We start from the raw sequence: 21,430 nt of genomic DNA on the forward strand, positions 1-21,430 counted from the left end.
CCCGGCCAACATGGTGAAACCCCATCTCTACTAAAAATACAAAAATTAACCAGGCGTGGTGGTCCATGCCTGTAATCTTAGCTACTCAGGAGGCTGAGGCATGAGAATCGCTTGAACTCAGGAGGTGAATGCTGCAGTGAGCCAAGATCACGACGCTGCACTGCAGCCTGGGTGACAGAGCAACTCCGTCTTAAAAAAACAAAACAAAACAAAACAAAAGAAGAAAAAAATAAAAGTACCTATTAATGCAATTATCTTTCAATTTTGATTCATAAATATGTGTGGAAGTGTCAATGTTTTGGGTAAAATGGAATTCACAGTGACAGAGTCAGTGCCATACAAAACAAAACTGGAAAATATACTTTAAAAAAATTATTTGAGCTGGGTGTAGTGGCTCACACCTGTAATCCCAGGACTTTGGGAAGCCGAGGTGGGCGGATCACGAGGTCAGGAGTTTGAGACCAGCCTGGCCCCTATGGTGAAACCCTGTCTCTACTAAAAATACAAAAAATTAGCTGTGCATGGTGGCGTATGCCTGTAGTTCCAGCTACTCGGGAGGCTGAGGCAGGAGAATTGCTTGAACCCGGCAGGCGGAGGTTGCAGTGAGCCGAGATCGTGCTCTTCAGCCTGGGCTACAGGGTGAGACTCGGTCTCAAAAAAATAATAATAATAATTTGAAAAATTTGCTGAATAAACATTTGTTCACAGTGTACTTTCCCTGATTTTTTAATTTTTGTTTTTGTTTGCCCTGTCACCCAGACTGGAGTACAGTGACACGAGCACGGCTCACTGCAGCCTTAATCTCTCAGGCTCAAGTGATCCTTGCACCTCAGCCTCCCTAGTAGCTGGGACTTCAGGTGCATGCCACCACATCCGGCTAGTTTTTGTATTTTTTGTAGAGATGAGGTTTTGTCATGTTGCCCAGGCTGGTTTCAAACTCCTGGGCTCAAGTAATCCTCCCACCTTGGCCCCGCAAAGTGCCGGAATTACAGGCATGAGCCACCCCACCCAGCCTTCCCCTAATTTTGATAATGATAATCCAATGTTCTGTTCTGGCATTTGTGTAGTTTTAGCGTGTGCAGTCTTCGAAGCAGTGGAGGTATTTGCCTTTTCTTCTCTGTGACTTAGTCATTCAGCAGTTCTATGCTAAGGGTTTTTTTATATGCCTTTAGGTTCTTGTTTAGAGTTAATGGATAATGAAAACATTTCTAATGCATAAGAGAAATGCATTCTGAAACAAAAATAGAATACAAGCCTTCAGACAGAAGGCAGAGAAGAAACTGGAGAAAGAGAAATAAGATGTTAGGTAGGAAACCATGGGAGACAGCACTGGGGAAAGTAACCTCCAGACTGGGAGTCACTGGGAAACCAGATAAATGCTCCTTGGCAGCGGGAGGAGTTGAGGACACTTCAGCTTGGTCTTGGGATGGGAGCCCAGAGAACGCAAGTTGCTCCAACTAGGTAGGGAAAATGCTGGGACAGATGAAACTTGAGTGGCTAACAAGAAGTACCAGGAGCCAAAGGCTCTCTGAACACTTGGGCCTCTTTTAAATGTCTGCCTTAAATAGCTTGTACCATTGTAAGTCTTGCATAATGGGTGAGAACATGAACTTTTAGAATCAAAGATGTCACTCTAGGTGTGGTTGTATTTGGAGTAAGGAAATAATTAAGGTTAAATGAGGTCATAAGTGTGGGGCCCTGATCCGATAGGACTAGTGTCCTTATCAGAAGAGTGAATGGAGAGCTTGCCCCTTACCCTTACATACTGAAGAAAGATTATGTGAGGACTAGCAAGAAGGTGGCCATGTACAAGACAGGAACAGAGCTGCCACCAGAGACCAAATTGGCCAAAACCTTGATCTTGGGCTTCTAGTCTCCAGAATGGTGACAAAGTAAATTTCTGTTGTTTAAGTCACCCAGTCTGTGGTATTTTAGTATGACAGCCCAAGCAGACAAATACACCATCTATATGCAGATACATCCAAATCTCTAGTCTGTTGTATGTCTGTACCTCTCCCCTGAACTTGGCTTTGTTCTCCACTTGCCTACTTATTGTCACCACTTGGATATATAATAGATGTCTCAAACTTCACTTCTCTGTAAACTGAACTCCTGATAGTCCCCTCAAGCCTACTCCATAGACATCTTTCTCTTCTCTTTTTTTTGGAGACAGGGTCTTGCTGTGTCGCCCAGGCTGGAGTGCAATGGCGTGATCATGGTTCACTGCAGCCTTGAACTCCTAGACTTAGGTGATCCTCCCACCTCCGCCTCCCAAGTAGGATGTGAGGGCAACCTGGCTGTGACATCTCTCACCCCGTTGATCACCAGGGTTGATCCGGCTGATCTGGCTGGCTAGGCCGGTGTCTCCTTCCTCCCTCACTGCTCCATGTATATCCCTCCCGAAGCTGCACACTCAAGTCGAAGAGAACGACCATCCCCAATAGAGGAGGACTAATCTTCGGTCAAGGGTATATAAGTAGCTGCGTTCCCCTGCTAGAACCTCCAAACAAGCTCTCAAGGTCCCAGGTAGCTAGGATTACAGGCACACGCCATCATGCTTCACTATCATTCTCTTCTCAATTAAAGGTAATACTGTTCTTTTAGCTGCTTAGGCCAAAAACTTTTGGAGTCATGCTTGACTTTTCTTTCTTTCACAGCCCACATCCCATCCATTGCAAATCACATTGGCTGTATGTTCCAAATACACCCAGAATTGAGTGACATCTTATCACTTTGCTACCACCATCAGGGCCAGGTCAGCATCACCTGTCACCTGGATTATTGCAGTAGCCTCCCATCTTATGTCTTCACTTGTACCCTTGCCTCTCCCTACATTCTGTTTTCAGCTTCAACTGCTAGAGAGATCCTTAAAAATATGTCAGATCATGTCACTCCTCTGCTCAAAGCCCTGCAGTGGTTGATGAGGTCTAGAGAATGTGTTGTTTCTAAATAATTTCTGTTAATCATGGTAATATAATTACTTCAAAGGAATTTCATTCTTATTGTGTGATTGCTCGCATTTCTAATTCCTAACTTAGTGCTGTGTCTGGGATGTGGAAGGTGGTCCGAAAATGTTGGTGGCGTCAAGGGATAGTGGGTATATATTAGGTAACCTCTCCAGATGAGAACAGATGAACAGTCATTTCCATGTGTTCAGGTGCTGTGCCTGTCAGAGATACTTTGGGAGATTTTATACTGAATACGTTCTTCTTGCCCATTAGTACTGTTCTTTTTCTCAAGAAATGGAGTTGTCGGCCAGGTGAGGTGGCTCATGCTCGTAATCCCAACACTTTGGGAGGTTAAGGTGGGCGGATTGCTTGAGCCCAGGAGTTCGAGACCAGTCTGGGCAATATAGTGAAACCTTATCTCTACAAAAAAATACAAAAGAGTAGCCAGGTCTGGTGGGGCATACCTGTAGTCCCAGCTACTTGGGGTAAGGGCTGAGGTGGGAGGATGGCTTGAGTCCGGGAGGTGGAGGTTGCAGTGACTGTGCCATTGTATTCCAGCCTGGGTGATAGAGCGAGACCCTGTCTCAAAATGAAGTGGTATCCAGTCCTTAATGACATTGGGACCATTTGTGAGTAACTAGTCCCTAACAAAAATACTTCAGAATTTTTTTTTTTTTTTGAGACAGAGTTTTACTCTTGTTGCCTAGGCTGGAGTGCAATGGCCCCATCTCAGCTCACTGCAACCTCCGCCTCCTGGGTTCATGTGATTCTCCTGCCTCAGCCTCCTAAGTAGCTGGTACAGGCACCCGCCACCATGCCTGGCTAATTTTTTGTATTTTTAGTAGAGACGGGGTTTCACCATGTTGGCCAGGCTGGTCTCGAACTCCTGACCTCAGGTGATTCACCCACCTGGCCTCCCAAAATGCTGGGATTACAGGCGTCAGCCACTGTGTCTGGCCCGGAATTGTTAAATATACACTGAAGTAAAAAGACAAAACACGGCTGGCCATGGTGGCTCACGCCTGTAATCCCAGCACTTTGGGAGGCCGAGGCAGGTGGATCACCTGACGTCAGGTGTTCAAGAGCAGCCTGACCAACATAGTGAAACCCCATCTCTACTAAAAATACAAAAATTAGCCGGGCATGGTGGCAGGCACCTGTAATCCCAGCTACGTGGGAGGCTGAGGCAGAATCGCTTGAACCCTGGAGGCGGAGATTTCAGCGAGCCGAAATCACACCACTGCACTCCGGCCTGGGCAACAGACCAGGACTCTGTCTCAAAAAAAAAAAAGAGAAAGACAAAACACAATGCAGGTCACTTAGCTATTTTCTCTAGAAAACAATTAGCTGTCATGATGCAGAAGATTGTTATAATCTATAAGGGGGAGGTTGTGGTTATTTTTACTCTAAAATCTTCCACTGCTTTTTTTTTTTTTTTTTGAGATGGAGTTTCACTCTGTCACCCAGGCTGGAGTGCAGTGGTGCAATCTTTGCTCACTGCAACCTCCACCTCCTGGGTTCAAGCGATTCTCCTGCCTCAGCCTCCCGAGTAGCTAGGATTATAGGTACACACCAAGAGGCCCAGCTAATTTTTGTGTGTGTATATATATATATGTATGTGTATATATATAATTTTTTTGTTTTTTTTAGTGGAGACGGAGTTTCACCATGTTGGCAAGGCTAGTCTCAAACTCCTGACTTCAAGTGATTCGCCCACCTCGGCCTCTCAAAGTGCTGGGATTACAGGCATGAGCCACCGTGTCCGGCCCCACTACATTCTTAAAGAAGCAATAAATTGACCTTGTTTAAATACACAATCTGAATTACTGGGGTCTTTTGAAACTAAACCTTTGTTCATTACTAAGATTTCTATTTTCCTTCCTCTTTTTCAGCACTTATTTCTATAGCAGTCTCCCAGCTGATGCCACTTAACTTCATTGAACAAAAAATGAGGTTTAGAAAATCACAATAATCATTGTGAAAGTATTTGATAGGAGATCTTTATTTGGGGTGAATTGGGTTATGATGTCAGTCCTGTGATTTCAGCGGAACTGTTTCTTTTTATCCATTGTCAGTGAGTGCTCATTAATACTTAAATGCAGCTTTCTTTTTCTTTCTTTTGAGACAGAGTCTCGCTCTGTCACCCAGGCTGGAGGGCAGTGACGCAATCTCGGCTCACTACAACCTCTGCCTCCCGGGTTCAAGTGATTCTCCTGCCTCAGCCTCCCAAGTAGGTGGGATTACAGGCACCTGCAACCATGCCCGGCTAATTTTTGTATTTTTAGTAGTGACAGGGTTTTGACATGTTGGTCAGGCTGATCTCGAACTCCTGACCTCAAGTGATCCGCCCGCCTTGGCCTCCCAAAGTGTTGAGATTATAGGCATGAACCACCACGCCTGGCATAATGCAGTTTTCTACTAAATGACTGATTTTGACATGCTTCCTGTTATTGGCCCTGCTGTTCAGCTGAAATAGCAGGATAGGAGATGGTCGTGTGATGGCCGATAGGTGGCAGTGCTGCTGGGACAGGCCCAGCCTGGTAGAGACGAGTATCTCAGACAGGAAAAACAGGACCCAGATGGCTCAGACTGTTGGGTTAGCATCTGGCCTTCGACAGGTCACCCTGGCCCGCCAGATCAGCCCCAGGCCTGACAAAAGCACTACAGGATAAAGAATAGGATCTCATTAAATGCAGTGGAAGTAACGTGAGAAGGATGGCTTTTCATATGCCATCCTAACCCTCCCCTCCCCCCGTTTTCTTTGCTTTGCTTTTCATACTTCTTAGCTTCTTGGATCTCTTGCTTTAAGAGGAACTAGGGTGTGGGCACAGTGGTTCACAGCTATAATCCCAGCACTTTGGGAGGCTGAGACGGGTGGATCAGTTGAGGTCAGGAGTTCAAGACTAGCCTGGCCAACATGGCGAAACCCCATCTCTACTAAAAATACCAAAATTATCCAGGCATAGTGGCACACACCTTTAATTCCAGCTACTGGGGAGGCTGAGGCAGAAGAATTGCTTTAATCCAGGAGGAGGAGGTTGCAGTGAGCCAAGATCACGCCACTGCACTCCAGCTTAAGCAACAAAGTGAGACTCTGTTTCAAAAAAAAAAAAAAAAGAGGAACTAGAGCTTAATATTCTCCTTGCAACATCACAGTCACAGTGCTGGTTGAGTAGTTACTTGCCTCGAAGGACTGGTAAGCCTTTGACAAGGATTGGTTACTTGGGAAGTTTTCTTGCTTACCTGTAGAAGTTAAGCTGCTCACCGACAGGAGCACAGACAAGTAGTAAAGTTCAGGGGTTGTTGTTTCCTACATTTGAGAGAGAAAAGGTGCTATGAGGAATACTTTGTCTTTTAATCAGAATGTGTTAAAAATGTTTTGCCACAAGGATTTAAATGAAGGTGCCAATTTAGCAAGAAATAGAAGTCTTGCTGTATACTGTGCCAAACCCAATCCAACAGCTTCAGTTTTTTTTTGTTGTTGTTGTTGTTGTTTGTTTGTTTTGAGGCAAGATGTTGCTTTGTCATCCAGGCCAAAGTGCAGTGGTGTGAGCATGGCTCACTGGAGCCTTGACTTCCTGGGTTCACGGGATCCTCCTGCCTCAGCCTCCCAAGTAGCTGGGACTACAGGCACGTGCCACCAGGTCCAGCTAATTTTTGTAATTTTTGTAGAGATGGGGTTTCTCCACATTGCCTATGCTGGTCTTCATCTCCTGGGCTCAATCGATCTGCCTGCCTCAGCCTTCCAAAGTACTGGGATTAGAGGCGTGAGCCACTGTGCCCGGCCTGTTTCACTGTTGATTAATATCTTAACTACTTTTCGAAGCTCTAGTAAAGTAGAATTCACCTACAAAAACAAAAATCTCTTGTAGAATTTTTAAACTTTCCCCAGTGAAATGTTTTAACTGTGACATGTGCCTAATCAGGTATTCCATCTCCACATATCTCTTCTTTTGGTGTCAGTAGAAAATAAATATTGAAGACATATTATTTACAGCCAAACTTTCAGATTAAGATAAGCCTTTAGAAATTCTTTGTTTATGGCTCACGCCTGTAATCCCAGCACTTTGGGAGGCCGAGGTGGGTGGATCACGAGGTCGGGAGATCCAGACCATCCTGGCTAACACAGTGAAACCCCATCTCTACTAAAAAAAAATACAAAAAATTAGCCGGGCATGGTGGCGGGCACCTGTAGTCCTAGCTACTCGGGAGGCTGAGGCGGGAGAATGGCGTGAACCTGGGAGGCGGAGCTTGCAGTAAGCACAGATTGCGCCACTGCACTCCAGCTGGGGTGACAGAGTGAGACTCTGTCTCAAAGAAAAAAAAAGAAATTCATTGTTTAAAAACATACACAGTCTGTTGCCAAAACTGTTAACACCATAGTGCAGACTCCTTAACTGAAGGATCCCACACCAAATGCAGAAGACATCCACTTCAGTGCCCGTGGCAATGGCTCCATCTGAACAAACTGCACAGTAAAACCTAAAAAGACAGAGGAACAGCATCAGTTTTTAGGTTTAATCATCTCAGAAAGAAACATATTCTTTGTTTTTTTGTTTTTTTTTCTTAAGACAGAGTCTCACTCTGTCACCCAGGCTGGAGTGCAGTGGCACAATCTCAGCTCACGGTGACCTCTGCCTCCTGGGTTCAAGTGATTCTCCTGCCTCAGCCTCCCTAGTAGGTGGGATTATAGGTGTGCACCACCACTTCTGGGTAATTTTTTGTATTTTTAGTAGAGACAGGGTTTCACCATGTTGGCCAGGCTGGTCTCGAACTCCTGACCTCAGGTGATCTGCCCACCTTGGCCTCCCAAAGTGCTGGGATTATAGGCGTGAGCCACCACGCTCGGCTAGAAACATATTTGAGCCACCACGCTCGGCTAGAAACAGATTCTTGAATGCAAACCTAAATGCAATTTGTTTCCTTCCCTTCCTGCTGTGGAACAGAAATGTCCAGTCTGGGCAAACTAATTTTTCCTTTGATATAGATTGTATGCATGTTTTTTTTTTTTGAGACGGAGTCTTGCTCTGTCGCCCAGGTGGAAGTGCAGTGACGTGATCTTGACTCACTGCAACCTCTGCCTCCTAGGTTCAAGCAATTCTCCGGCCTCAGCCTCCCGAGTAGCTGGAACTACAGGTGCCCGCCACCACGCCTGGCTAATTTTTTTTGTATTTTTAGTAGAGACGGGGTTTCACTGCATTATCCAGGATGGTCTCGATCTCCTGTCCTTGTGATCCACCCACCTCAGCCTCCCAAAATGGGATTACAGGTGTGAGCCACTGTGCGCGGGCTTTTTTTTTTTTTTTTTGAGACGGAGTCTTGCTCTGTTGCCAGGCTGGAGTACAGTGGCGCCATCTCAGCTCACTGCATCCTCTGCCTCCCAGGCTCAAGTGATTCTCCTGCTCCAGCCTCCTGAGTAGCTGGGATTACAGGCCTGCACCACCACACCCAGCTAATTTTGTTTTTTTTTTTGAGACGGAGTCTCACTCTGTTGCCAGGCTAGAATGCAGTGGCATGATCTCGGCTGACTGCAACCTCTGCCTCCCGGGTTCAAGTGATTCTCCTGCCTCAGCCTCCCAAGTAGCTGGGACTACAGGCGTGTGCCACCACGCTCAGCTAATTTTTGTATTTTTAGTAGAGACAGAGTTTCACCATGTTGGCCAGGCTGGTCTCAAACTCGTGACCTCAGGTGATCCATCTGTCTTGGCCTCCCAAAGTGCTGGGATTGCAGGCATGAGCCACCACACCCGGCCCTATTTTTTCATTTTAAAAAATTCGGACATAGTTTTTGCTGAAATCATATATCACTCTTTTTTTTTTTTTTTTTTTTTTTTTTGAGACAGAGTCTTGCTCTCTTGCCCAGGCTGGAGTGCAGTGGCACGATCTTGGCTCACTGCAACCTCCGCCTCCCAGGTTCAAGCGATCCTCCTGCCACAGTCCCCATCGTAGCTGGGACTACAGGCACGTGCCATCATGCCCAGCTAATTTTTGTATTTTTAGTAGAGAAGGGGTTTTGCCATGTTGGCCAGGCTGGTCTTGAACTCCTGATCTCAGGTGATCCACCTGCCTCGGCCTCCCAAAGTGCTGGGATTACAGGCATGAGCCACCGCACCCGGCCCATACATCACTCTTAAAAGCACATTCAAAGGAAAATATAATTAAGATAGATTAGCTAAAATATTTCTTAAACTTCTCCACATTTCAGAATGTTGAGAATAGAGACCAACTCTGTGTCCTTTTTTTTTGGAGATAGGGCCTCCCTCTGTCACCCAGGCTGGAGTGCAATGACATGACTCACTGCACCCTCCACCTCCTGGGCTTTAGTGACCCTCTTACTTCAACCTCCCAAGTAGCAGGGACTACAGGTGCATGACACCATGCCCAGCTAACTTCTTCTATTTTTTGTAGAGATGATGTCTCACCATGTTGCCCAGGCTGGTCTTGAACTCCTGACTTCACACGATCCTCCCACCTCAGCCTCAAAGTGTTGGGGTTACAGGCATGAGCCACTGGACCCAGCCCTGTATCACTTTTTGACTTCAAGTTGCCATTGTCCTTGTTTTTCTACGCAGAATCATCTCTTGATCAATGACTATTTATTGAATGAAAAACCCGATACTTTAATATTATAACACTAAAGAATTTTATAGCAGAAGGAATTTGGGCCAGGCATGGTGGCTCATGCCTGTAATTCCAGCACTTTGGGAGTCTGAGGTGGGTGGATCACAAGGTCAGGAGATTGAGACCATCCTGGCCAACATGGTGACACCCCATCTCTACTAAAAATACAAACATTAGGTTCGTGTGGTGGCGCGTGCCTGTAATCCCAGCTACTCAGGAGGCTGAGGCACGAGAATCGCTTGAACCCAGGAGGCGGAGGTTGCAGTGAGCCGAGATCACACCACTGCACTCCAGCCTGGCAACAGAGCAAGACTCCATCTCAAAAAAAAAAAAAAGGAATTTATGTTTAACTTAATTTGGTTCCGTACTCAAATTATAGAACAACTAAAAGAGAGGCCAGGCACGCTGGCTCACGCCTGTAATCCCAGCACTTTGGGAGGCTGAGGCAGGTGGATCACCTGAGGTCAGGACTTTGAGACCAGCCTGACCAACATGGTGAAACCCCATCTCTAAGCTGGGCGCGGTGGCTCACGCCTGTAATCCCAGCACTTTGGAAGGCTGAGGCTGGTGGATCACCTGAGGTCAGGAGTTTGAGACCAGCCTGGCCAACATGGTGAAACCTCATCTCTACTTAAAATACAAAAAATTAGCTGGGCGTGGTGGTATGCACCTGTAATCCCAGCTACTCGGGAGGCTGAGGCAGGAGAATCGCTTGAACCCGGGAGGCGGAGGTTGCAGTGAGCTGGGATCGCGCCATTGCACTCCAGCCTGGGGACAAGAGCGAGACTTTGTCTCAAAAAAAAAAAAAAAAAAAGAAAGAAACCCCTTCTCTACTAAAAATACAAAATTAGCTGGGTGTGGTGGCGCATGCCTGTAATTGCAGCTACTAGGGAGGCTGAGGCAGGAGAATCACTTGAACTTGGGAGGCAGAGGTTGCAGTGAGCCGAGATTGCACCATTGCCCTCCAGCCTGGGCAAAAAGAGTGAAACTCCATCTCAAAAAACAAAAAGCAAAAACAACTAAAAGAGATACTTAGGAAGTTTTTAAAGATTCCCTTCACCTGAATTTTAGATGTGAGTTGTTTTTTTAATTTTAGTCTATGAGTTCCTGAAGAGCAGAGAGCTCTGTCCTACCAATTTTTGTTGTAGCAGTGTCTGGCTACTATTTGTAGTAGATACTTAATAAATGCTTGACGGATAACTACACACTTACCAATTGTGAAGAAGGTAAAGATGGTATTACTAACCAGGTTGTACAGGAGAGATTGGCTGCAATATTGGGAAGATCTGGGCCTAAAAGTCAATAAACTGGGTGATACATTAATTTATTACTTATTACAGGAAATCTATGGTATACGCGTAACACCAGAAGGCACTAATCCTTGAACTCTAATTCTTATTCTGGCACTGGGTTCATCTTGGCTGTAGGCAACTCACTTCTCTTGAGAACCTTGGTTCCTTTACCATGACTGTAAATAAATGCTACAAAATAGTCCATAAATAATAGTAAGAGTTATTAGTGTCATCACTGGTAAATAAATAACGTTTACCATGTTTCTTTTCTTTTTTTTTTTTTTTTTGAGACAGAGTTTTACTTTGTCACCCAGGCTGGACTGCAGTGGTGCGATCTCTGCTCACTGCAACCTCTGCCTCCCAGGTTCAGGCAATTCTTGGGCCTCTGCCTTCCCAGTAGCTGGGATTACAGGCACGTGCCACCACACCCGGCTAGCTTTTGTATTTTTTGGTAGAGATGGGGTTTCATCATGTTGGCCATGCTGATCTCGAACCCCTGACCTCAAGTGATTGGTCTACCTTTTTTTTTTTTTTTTTTTGAGACAGAGTCTTGTTCTGTCACTGAAGCTGGAGTGCAGTTGTATGATCTCAGCTCACTGCAACCTCCACCTCCTGGGTTCAAGCGATTCTCATGCCTCAGCTTCCTGAGTAGCTAGGATTACAGGCGTGTGCCACCACACCTGGCTAATATTTTGCATTTTTAGTAGAGATGGGGTTTCATCATGTTGTCCAAGCTGGTCTCGAACTCCTGACCTCAGGTGATCCGCCCACCTTGGCCTCCCAAAGTGCTTGGATTACAGGCATGAGCCACTGATCCTGGCCTTGTTTACCTTTTTTTTTTTTTTTTTTGAGACAGAGTCTCGCTCTGTCACCCAGGCTGGAATGTAATGGTGTGATCTTGGCTCACTGCAACCTCCACCTCCGAGGTTCAAGCGATTCTCCTGCCTCAGCCTCCTCAGTATCTAGGATTGCAGGCACATGCCACCATGCCTGGATAATTTTTGTATTTTTAGTTGAGATGGGGTTTCACCATGTTGGTCATGCTGGTCTCAAACTCCTGATCTTGTGATCCACCCGCCTCGGCCTCCCAAAATGCTAAGATTACAGGCATGAGCCATTGCATCTGGCCTTTTTATTTTTATTTTTGAGGTGGAGTTTCGCTCTTGTCACCCAGGCTGGAGTTCAATGGTGGGATATCAACTCACTGCAACCTCTGCCTCCCAGGTTCAAGCAATTCCCCTGCCTCAGCCTCCTGAGTAGCTGGGATTACAGGAATGTACCAGCATGTCAGGCTAATTTTGTATTTTTAGTACAGACAGGGTTTCTCCATGTTGGTCAGGCTGGTCTCACACTCCCAACCTCAGGTGATCCGCCCACCTCAGCCTCCCAAAGTGCTGGGATTACAGGTGTGAGCCACCGTGCCCAGTCTTGTTTACCATTTTTTTTTTGAGACGCAGTCTCACTCTGTTTCTTGCAGTGCCGCGATCTTGGCTCACTGTAACCTCCACCTCCCGGGTTCAAGCAATTCTCCTTCCTGAGCCTCCCGAGTAGCTGGATTACAGGCATGCGCCACCACGCGAGAGTGGGCTTCACCATGTTGGCCAGGCTGGTCTCGAACTATTGACCTCGTGATCCACGCCTCGGCTTCCCAAAGTGCTGGGATTACAGGTGTGAGCCACCGTGCCCAGCCCTTATTTACCAGTTTTTAAATTCACGTTAATTTGCGATTTTGGTGAAAAACTATTTCATGGGAATTCTGACTTCTAGTAAGGAAAAATGACTTATTTTACACAGACTTTCTGTAATAGAAGCTGGTGAGTTTGAGTTCGGCTAATTACAAGGAGTGTTGCAGCTTCCTGTCACTCCCCCTCGCTTAAGTAGATTCTCAGTTTTCAGATTTTTTTTTAGAATTAAAGTTATTAACAGACTGTTTCCGCTAAGAATAATTTCGAAGACAGAATCTGAAAGAACATATTAAGTAATAATCAGGTCGGGCGTGCCTGTCACCCTCAGCCCTGCAGACATAAGCTAACGCTAGACCGTTGGGACTGGTCTCCAGGGAATCTGTAAGTTGAGACATTGGTCCCCTCATTGTCTCCTATTTAATGGCTTTCTATACCAGAAGAAGTAAGTGTGGATTAAAAGTTAAGCTCAGTTTACCCACAGCTATCTTCACTATATTGAGATTTTTGGCTTTTCAAAGAAGTGAAGTAGGTGATTGCCCTTGGTAATAGGGGCAGAAAACATGGGGCAGGCTGCAATTAACATTTTACATTACTCGTTTAGTGATGAAATAGCTTCCAGAAAACAAATTCAGGTTCTGTTTGGTGATAATGTTACATTTAACTACAGAGATAAAGTTTTAAACATAATGATATTTTGTGTTTTTAGTAGAGATGGTGTTTCTGATTGAATTGAGATCCATTGCATTCTAATAAAATTCTATCTAATAATACTTCAATAAGAATATTAAAATAGCTACTACTTATTGTTCTCCCATTATTTAGCAGGCTTTGTTGATACTGATTTTTTGTTTTGTTTTGTTTTTTTTTTTTTTGAGACAGAGTCTTGCTCTGTCACCCAGGCTGGAGTGCAGTGGTGTGATCTCAGCTCACTGCAACCTCTGCCTCCTGGGTTCAAGCAATTCTCCTGCCTCAGCCTCCTGAGTATCTGGGACTACAGAAGCACACCACCATGCCCGACTAATTTTTGTATTTTTAGTAGAGATGGGGTTTCACCATGCTGATCAGGTTGGTCTTGAATTCCTGACCTCGTGATCCGCCCACCTCTGTCTCCCAAAGTACTGGGATTAGAGGTGTGAGCCACTGCTCCCAGCCTGTTGATACTGATCTTTAGGGAATCTTTAGAACCTTGGTTCCTTTATCATGACTGTAAATTAATGTAAAACAACCTGCAAGTAATACTAAGTTATCAATATTCATAATTGGTAGACAAATGTGTCAAACATTTTACATGCATTATCTAATTTAATATGCACAAAATCCTATGACATAGGACTGTGGTTCTCCATTTTTTTAAATGAGGAAACTGACTGTTAACTGACAAACTGAGAGTTAATCTACCTACCACAACTTGCACAAGCAAATGAAAATTGTTACTGCTCAAAGCATTTTTGAAATTCTTTTGAGATTACGTGTACGTAGTTTCCATGGCATGTAAGAAAATCTTGGTCGGGCACAGTGGCTTAAGCCTGTAATCCCAGCACTTTGGGAAGCCGAGGCAGGTGGATCACCTGAGATCGGGAGTTTGAGACCAGCCTGGCCAGCATACTGAAACCCCATCTCTACTAAAAATACAAAAATTAGCTGGGTGTGGTGGCGGGCGCCTGTAATCCCAGCTACTCAGGAGGCTGAAGCAGAAGAATCGCTTGAACCCGGGAGGCAGAGGTTGCAGTGAGCTGAGATCGTGCCATTGCACTACAGCCAGGGGACAAGAGTGAAACTCCATCTTGGAAAAAAAAAAAAAAAAAAAAAAAAAGAGGCCGGGTGCGGTGACTCACGCCTATAATCCTAGCACTTTGGGAGGCCAAAGTAGGCAGATCATGAGGTCAGGAGTTCAAGACCAGCATGACCAATATGGTGAAACCCCATCTCTACTAAAAATACAAAAATTAGCTGGGCGTGGTGGCATGCGCCTGTAATCCCAGCTACTCAGGAGGCTGAGGCAGGAGAATGGCTTGAACCTGGGAGGTGGAGGTTGCAGTGAGCCAAGATTGCACGCCACTGCACTCCAGCCTGGCGACAACGAGACTCTGTCCCCCCACCAAAAAAAGAAAAGAAAGAAAATCTCACCATTAACTAATCATTCTAACTCCCTTCTTCACTGTAAACTATTAAATTCACCTTGATTATTTTATTAATTGGGTTTAGCACTGAATAACTTTAGGGGATTCACAGAAATCAAATATACCCTCCAAAGACAGATTTATCCCCAGTGAAGGTACTCAAAAGAATATGCAATTTCAAAATATACCCCCAAGAGTATTTAATGGCAGCATTGTTGGAACAAGAACATAGCTACATGCTTAAAGTTATTGTTTTGAAAGGAATAGCACCCTTTTAGAGGTGTAAATCCTGAGAGGTGGTGAGGTCAGCCATGTTACTTAACTCTTAGCCAACACAGGTTTAATACTGAGCATCCTGAAATATGCGATAGGGAAAGCCAAACAGAATTACTATTGTTTTCGAAAAGTTGATTTTTAAAAAACTGACTTTTTAGCCAGGAGTGATGGCGTGTGCTTGTAGTACTAGCTACTTGGCAGGCTGAGGTGGGAGGATCTCTTGAGCCTGGGATTTGAAGGCTGCAGTGAGCAATGATTGTGCCACTGTACTGCAGCCTAGGCAACAGAGCGATACCCTATCTCTAAAAAAAACAAAAACAAAAACAAAAAAACCCTGGCTTAATGTTATGTTAATATTTACATCTCAGTGTTTTTAAAACATAAAGATCAGTTATTTTGGCCAGGTGTGGTGGCTCATGCCTCTAATCCCAGCACCGTGGGAGGCCAAGGTGGGAGGATCACTTGAGGCCAGGAGTTTGACACCAGCCTGGGCAACACAGCGAGACCCCATCTCTACCAAAAATAATAATAATAATAAAGATCAGTAACTACCCAGGCCAAAACGCAGTGGCTCAATTTCAGCCTCCCGAGTGGCTGGGACTACAGCCACGTGCCACTGTACCCAGCCCAAGATTAGTAATTTTAAAATTAAAAGTAAATTTTAAGCCTCAAGACTGCCAGAGAAAGAAATGAACTCCTTATTGTCACAGTGAGCTGAGGAGGGACACTTACAGCCTGAGCTGGTGAGTTCTCAGCAGCCAGCAGTGCAAGCGATAGGCCGTGTGGGCCAAACAAAAGTGAATCATGGTGACACTGGGCCCAGAGCACCTGGAGCAAGACAAGGAGGACCCAGGTCAGTCCCGTTAGAGTTTCCAAACTGCTGCACCCATTCATCAATCGGCCACAGCCCCCCTATACGCATGCGCATGTGCCCTGCAATGATATGGAGGAAGTACTCTTCAGGAAAGGGACAGACCCTAGTTCTTTAAAACCCACTTTTGGCAGCAATAGGAGCTCACTGTAACCTTAACTCTTGTGTGGCTCTGAAGGTTTAGAGTCTGGTGTGAGCTCGAGTTGGCTTTGTTAACAGTTAGTGGAACTGTGAGCTGGATATTTGAGACAAGTTATAGATGTAACAAGGGAGAAAGACAGCTTCCTTTATGCTGAGAGATCAGCTTCCTCCAGCCCTTCCACATCCCTTGGGCATCACCTGGAAACCTAAGCTTATCCCCAAGTGTAGGGCTAAAAGCTGTTTGTTCCATCCTTCCCTGAAGTCTGCTTCAGAACTGCAGCAGCTCCCTTGAGGACCCACACCTCTCGAACTCAGCCTTACCCTTCTTCCATCTCTCTCTTGGGAATAGTAACTGAAACCTGAGATGGGCGGGGTTGTCTGACGCCAGCTGTCTGTCTGGTGCCAGCTGAACCCAGCCCCTCCACCAGTCTTTGAGAGCATGCTCAGTGGCTGGTGGATACCCTGATTTCTCTGTAGGCCTCAGGGTACTATGGGCATGTCGCATTCATCACCCCCTCCCATAATACCACTGGTAGTTTTTATGGGTATCGAGGGCCTGGGGTAGGGATAAAGGGTATGGGTACAAGCCCCAAGTGAATCATGGTATGATACTTTTGATGGTAACTGAAAGGTAAGACATTTAAATCATTCTTAGTGATGAACTCATTTTTTTCTAATGCCCTAGTGACTACTACTGAACCTTCTCCGTTATTCCCTAAGAACAGTTAGCAGTGTCCCTGTGATCCCACCACTGTGCCTTCTTTCGAGAAGGCCCCAAGTATATATATATTTTTTGAGACGGAGTTTTGCTCTTGTTGCCCAGGTTGGAGTGCAATGGCATGATCTCGGCTCGCCGCAACCTCCACCTCCCAGGTTCAAGTAGTTCTGCCTCAGCCTCCCAAGTAGCTGGGATTATGGGCATGTGCCACCATACCTGGCTAATTTTGTATTTTTAGTAGAGACGGGGTTTCTCCATGTTGGTCAGGCTAGTCTCGAACTCCCAACCACAGGTGATCCACCTGCCTCGCCCTCCCAAAATGCTGGGATTACAGGCATGACCTACCGCGCCCGGACCCCAAGTATCTTTCTTACTTCCATTTCCACTGACTATTTGTGGCTGCTTTTCCTATCTTGTTTCATCCCGTCCAATGAATTCCAAATCATCACTGTCATCAGTAACATCACTTTCCTCAAAAATAACAGCTGCCGCCGGGCGCGGTGGCTCACGCCTATAATCCCAGCACTTTTGGAGGCTGAGGCAGGCGGATCACGAGGTCAGGAGATTGAGACCATCCTGGCTAACATGGTGAAACCCCGTCTCTACTAAAAATACAAAAAATTAGCCCGGCGTAGTGGTGGGCGCCTGCAGTCCCAGCTACTTGGGAGGCTGAGGCAGGAGAATGGCGTGAACCCGGGAGGCGGAGCTTGCAGTGAGCCGAGATCGCGCCACTGCACTCCAGCCTGGGCGACAGAGCGAGACTCCGTCTGAAAAAAAAAAAAAAATAACAGCTACCATTCATTTTAACACTGTGCCAGGCAATATGCTAAGCCCCTTGCCATGTTTATCCTCAGAATTAATCCTCAAAGTAACTGAGATTGGCCTTCTCATTATCTCCATTTTACAGATAAAGAACCTAAAAACAGAGTTAAGAGATCAAATCAAGATCACACAACCAAATAAGGGTTTTTTTTTTTTTTTTTTTTTTGAGACGGAGTCTTGCTCTGTAGCCCAGGCTGGAGTGCAGTGGCGCGATCTCGGCTCACTGCAAGCTCCGCCTCCCGGGTTCACGCCATTCTCCCGCCTCAGCCTCCCGAGTAGCTGGGACTACAGGTGCCTGCCAACACACCCGGCTAATTTTTTGTATTTTTAGTAGAGACAGGGTTTCACCGTTTTAGCCAGGATGGTCTCGATCTCCTGACCTCGTGATCCGCCCGTCTCGGCCTCCCAAAGTGCTGGGATTACAGGTGTGAGCCACCGTGCCTGGCCCCAAATAAGGGTTTTTAACACCCATGTCATATTATTTTGAGAACCCTGTTGTCACTCCTTTGCTCAGAAACCTTCAAAGGTTCCCATTGTCCAAGGGGTTAAAGTTTATATTTCTCAACTCCTTAGCTATGAGAGGGCTCAATTCCAATCTACACTGTTCCAGTTTATCTCCCATTTTTCTTCTTGGTGAGAGAGCTTAAGAGTCAGGAAACCTAAATTCTAGTCCTGATGTGCCATTCACTAGCTTTGTCCACTGACAGCATAAAATCTGAACAAAAGCAAGTTGGTCAGCCTAGCAGTTATGTCTGACTACTATTGGGCTACAAATGAACAGTCTTGACACAGGTGTTTTCAGTATTGCCAAGTCTTAGATGTACACAGTGAGGCATTGCATAGCCTTAATTTCCAGATTTATTTTTAACCCACTATTTCTTTTTTTTTTTTTCCAAGATGGCGTCTTGCTGTGTCCCCCAGTCTGGAGTGCAGTGGCACAATCTAGGCTCACTGCAACCTCCATCTCCCGGGTTCAAACAATTATCCTGCCTCAGCCTCCCGAGTACCTGGGATTACAGGCGCACACCACCACGCCCAGCGAATTTTTGTATTTTTTAGTAGAGACGGTTTCACCATGTTGGCCAGGCTGGTCTCGAACTTCTGACCTCGTGATCCGCCCACCTCAGCCTCCCAAAGTGCTGGGATTACAGGCGTGAGCCACCGCATCTGGCCCCCATTATTTCTTTTTTGAGATGTTTGTAATAGTGAAAAATTAGAAAAACCTAAATATCCAAAGGTCGAAGATTAACTGGAAAAACTGAATTAACTATAGATTATCATTTGGAACATGCTAATTGCTTTTGGCCAAGTTATTTTTTTGCAGTGAGAATCAAATGACAATGTGTATGAATTTTATTTTATTTTATTTTATTTTTGAGACAGAGTCTCACCCTATCACTCAGGCTGGAGTGCTGAGGCGTGATCTCAGCTCACTGCAACCTCTGCCTCCTGGGTTCAAGTAATTCTTGTGCCTCAGCCTCCCAAGTAGCTGGGATTACAGGCACCAGCCACCACACCTGGCTAATTTTTATACTTTTGGTAGGGATGGGATTTCACCATGTTGGCCAGGCTGGTCTCAAACTCCTGGCCTCAAGTGACCCACCTACCTCGGCCTCCCAAAGTGCAGGGATTACAGGTGTGAGCTACCACACCGGGCCGAAAGTATTTTTATAAAGCCAGGTGTGGTGGTTCACACCTGTAATCCCAGCACTTTGAGAAGTGTAGGTGGGAGGATCACTTGAGCCCTTGGTCTTGAAATCCTGGGCTCAAGCAATCCTCCCACCTCCACTTCCCAAAGTGGGAAGCAGAGCCTGGGCAACAAAATGAGACTCCTTCTCTACAAAAAAATAGAAAGATAAGCTGGGTGTGGTGATGTGTGCCTGCAGTCCCAGCTACACGAGTAGCTGAGGCAGGAGGATCCTTGAGCCCAGGAGATCGTGGCTGCAGTGAGCCATGTTCAAGCTAAACCTCCCAGCTTTCCCAGCCTGGGTGACAGAACAAGACCCCGTCTCAAAAAGAAAAAATAAAAGTATTCTATACTTTTGTTTTTGTAAACCAAAAGTAGCATATAACTATTGATGTGTTTATTGTCATTTGCTATATTTCTATGTTAATTATAAAAATGCTTCAAGCGGCCAGGCACGGTGGCTCATGCCTCTAATTCCAGCATTTTGGGAAGCCGAGGCAGGCGGATCATGAGGTCAGGAGATCAAGACCATCCTGGGCTAACACGGTGAAACCCCATCTCTACTAAAAATACAAAAAATTGGCCAGCATGGTGACGCACACCTGTAGTCCCAGCTACTCGGGAGGCTGAGGCAGGAGAATCACTTGAGCCAGGGAGGTAGAGGTTGCAGTGAGCCAAGATTGTGCCACTGCACTCCAACCTGGGCGACAAAAAAAAAAAAAAAAAAAAGCTTCAAGCTCTACAAAAAATTCCCCAAAGTTTTGAAAATACTTTGAGCAAGATTATGTCACTGGAATTATATTTATAAGATCTCAGGGCCAGGTGTGTTGGCTCATGCCTGTAATTCCAGCACTTTGGGAGGCCGAGGCGGGTGGATCACCAGGTCAAGAGATCAAGACCATCCTGGCGAACATGGTGAAACCCTGTCTCTACTAAAAATACAAAAATTAGCTGGGTGTGGTGGCGTGGGCCTGTAGTCCCAGATGCTCAGGAGGCTGAGGCAGGAGAATCGCTTGAACCCAGGAGGCGGAGGTTGCAGTGAGCTGAGATTGTGCCACTGCACTCCAGCTTGGCAACAGAGCGAGACTCCATCTCAAAAAAAAAAAAAAAAAAAGATCTCAGAATGATTATTTTTAAGACATTCTTTGGATATATAAGAATATTTATTACTTTTTAATTTTTATATTATTGTTGTTATTTTGAGACAGAGTCTCGCTCTGTCACCCAGGCTGGAGTGCAGTGGTGCAGTCTCGGCTCACTGCAACCCCTGCCTGCCAGGTTCAAGTGATTCTCCTGCCTCAGCCTCCCAAGTACCTGGGATTACATGTGTGCGCCACCACACTCGCTAATTTTTGTATTTTTGGTAGAGATGGGGTTTCACCATGTTGGTCAAGCTGGTCTTGAACTCCTGACCTCAAGCGATCTCTCTGCTTTGACCTCCCAAAGTGCTGGGATTACAGGTGTGAGCAACCGCACCTGGCCAAGAATATTTATTTTGAAGTCCAAGCACAGTAGCTCATGCCTGTAATCCCTTTGAGAGGCTGAGGCAGGAGGCCAGGAATCTGAGACCCACCTTGACAACATAGTGAGACCCTGTCTCTGCAAAAGATTTAAAAAATATAGCCAGGTGTGGTGGCATGTGCTTGTGGTCCCAGCTACTTGGAGGCTGAGGCAGGAAGATCATTTGAGCCTAGGAGGCAGAGGCTGCAGTGACCTGTGATCATGCCATTGGACTCCAGCCTGGGCAACACACCGAGATCCTTTCTCAAAAAAAAAAATTTTATTCAGAAGTATTTGGCTGGGCACGGTGGCTCACGCCTGTAATCTCAACACTTCGGGAGGCTGAAGCAGTCAGATCACTTGAGGTTAGGAGTTTGAGACCAGCCTGGCCAACATGGTGAAACCCCGTCTCTACCAAAAATACGAAAATTAGCCAGGCATGGTGGGGCATGCCTGTAGTCCCAGCTACTTGGGAGGCTGAGGCAGGAGAATCACTGTAACCTGGGAGGCAGAGGCTGCAGTGAGCTGAGATCGTGCCACTGCACTCCACCGTGGGCAACAGAGGGAGACTCCATCTCAAAACAGAAAGAAATTATTTATAAATATTATTGACCGGGCGCGGTGGCTCACGCCTGTAATCCCAACGCTGTGGGAGGCTGAGGCAGGCAGATCACCTGAGGTCAGGAGTTCAAGACCAGCCTAGCCAACATGGTGAAACCCCATCTCTACTAAAAATACAAAAATTAGCT

At 45.9% G+C, this 21,430-nt stretch overlaps 1 protein-coding gene and 2 pseudogenes across 11 annotated transcripts in view; 2 read left to right on the forward strand and 1 right to left on the reverse strand.

Annotated features, from left to right (window-relative positions):
• Positions 1 to 21,430, forward strand: part of NMNAT1 (nicotinamide nucleotide adenylyltransferase 1) — a 53,970-nt gene that overhangs the window by 2,117 nt on the left and 30,423 nt on the right. For 2 of the 10 annotated variants that reach the window (XM_047428076.1, XM_047428080.1), the window contains exon 1: positions 974 to 2,468. The exons of the other annotated variants lie outside the window; for them this stretch is intronic. The gene's annotated coding sequence lies outside the window, so the exon portion shown is untranslated. Of the gene's footprint in view, positions 1 to 973; positions 2,469 to 21,430 lie in introns of those variants that run through there. 10 annotated transcript variants of the gene reach the window in all.
• RN7SKP269 (RN7SK pseudogene 269) lies at positions 2,279 to 2,523 on the forward strand (annotated as a pseudogene).
• On the reverse strand, positions 5,533 to 15,748 carry TMEM274P (transmembrane protein 274, pseudogene; annotated as a pseudogene). Its single transcript, NR_158969.1, has 5 exons — positions 15,675 to 15,748; positions 10,782 to 10,876; positions 7,300 to 7,430; positions 6,192 to 6,258; positions 5,533 to 5,609 (listed from the first exon to the last, which is right to left on the reverse strand). The product of NR_158969.1 is annotated as a transmembrane protein 274, pseudogene (transcript).

The sequence above is a fragment of the Homo sapiens genome, chromosome 1, assembly GCF_000001405.40.
Source record: "Homo sapiens chromosome 1, GRCh38.p14 Primary Assembly".
Taxonomy (NCBI): Eukaryota; Metazoa; Chordata; class Mammalia; order Primates; family Hominidae; genus Homo; species Homo sapiens.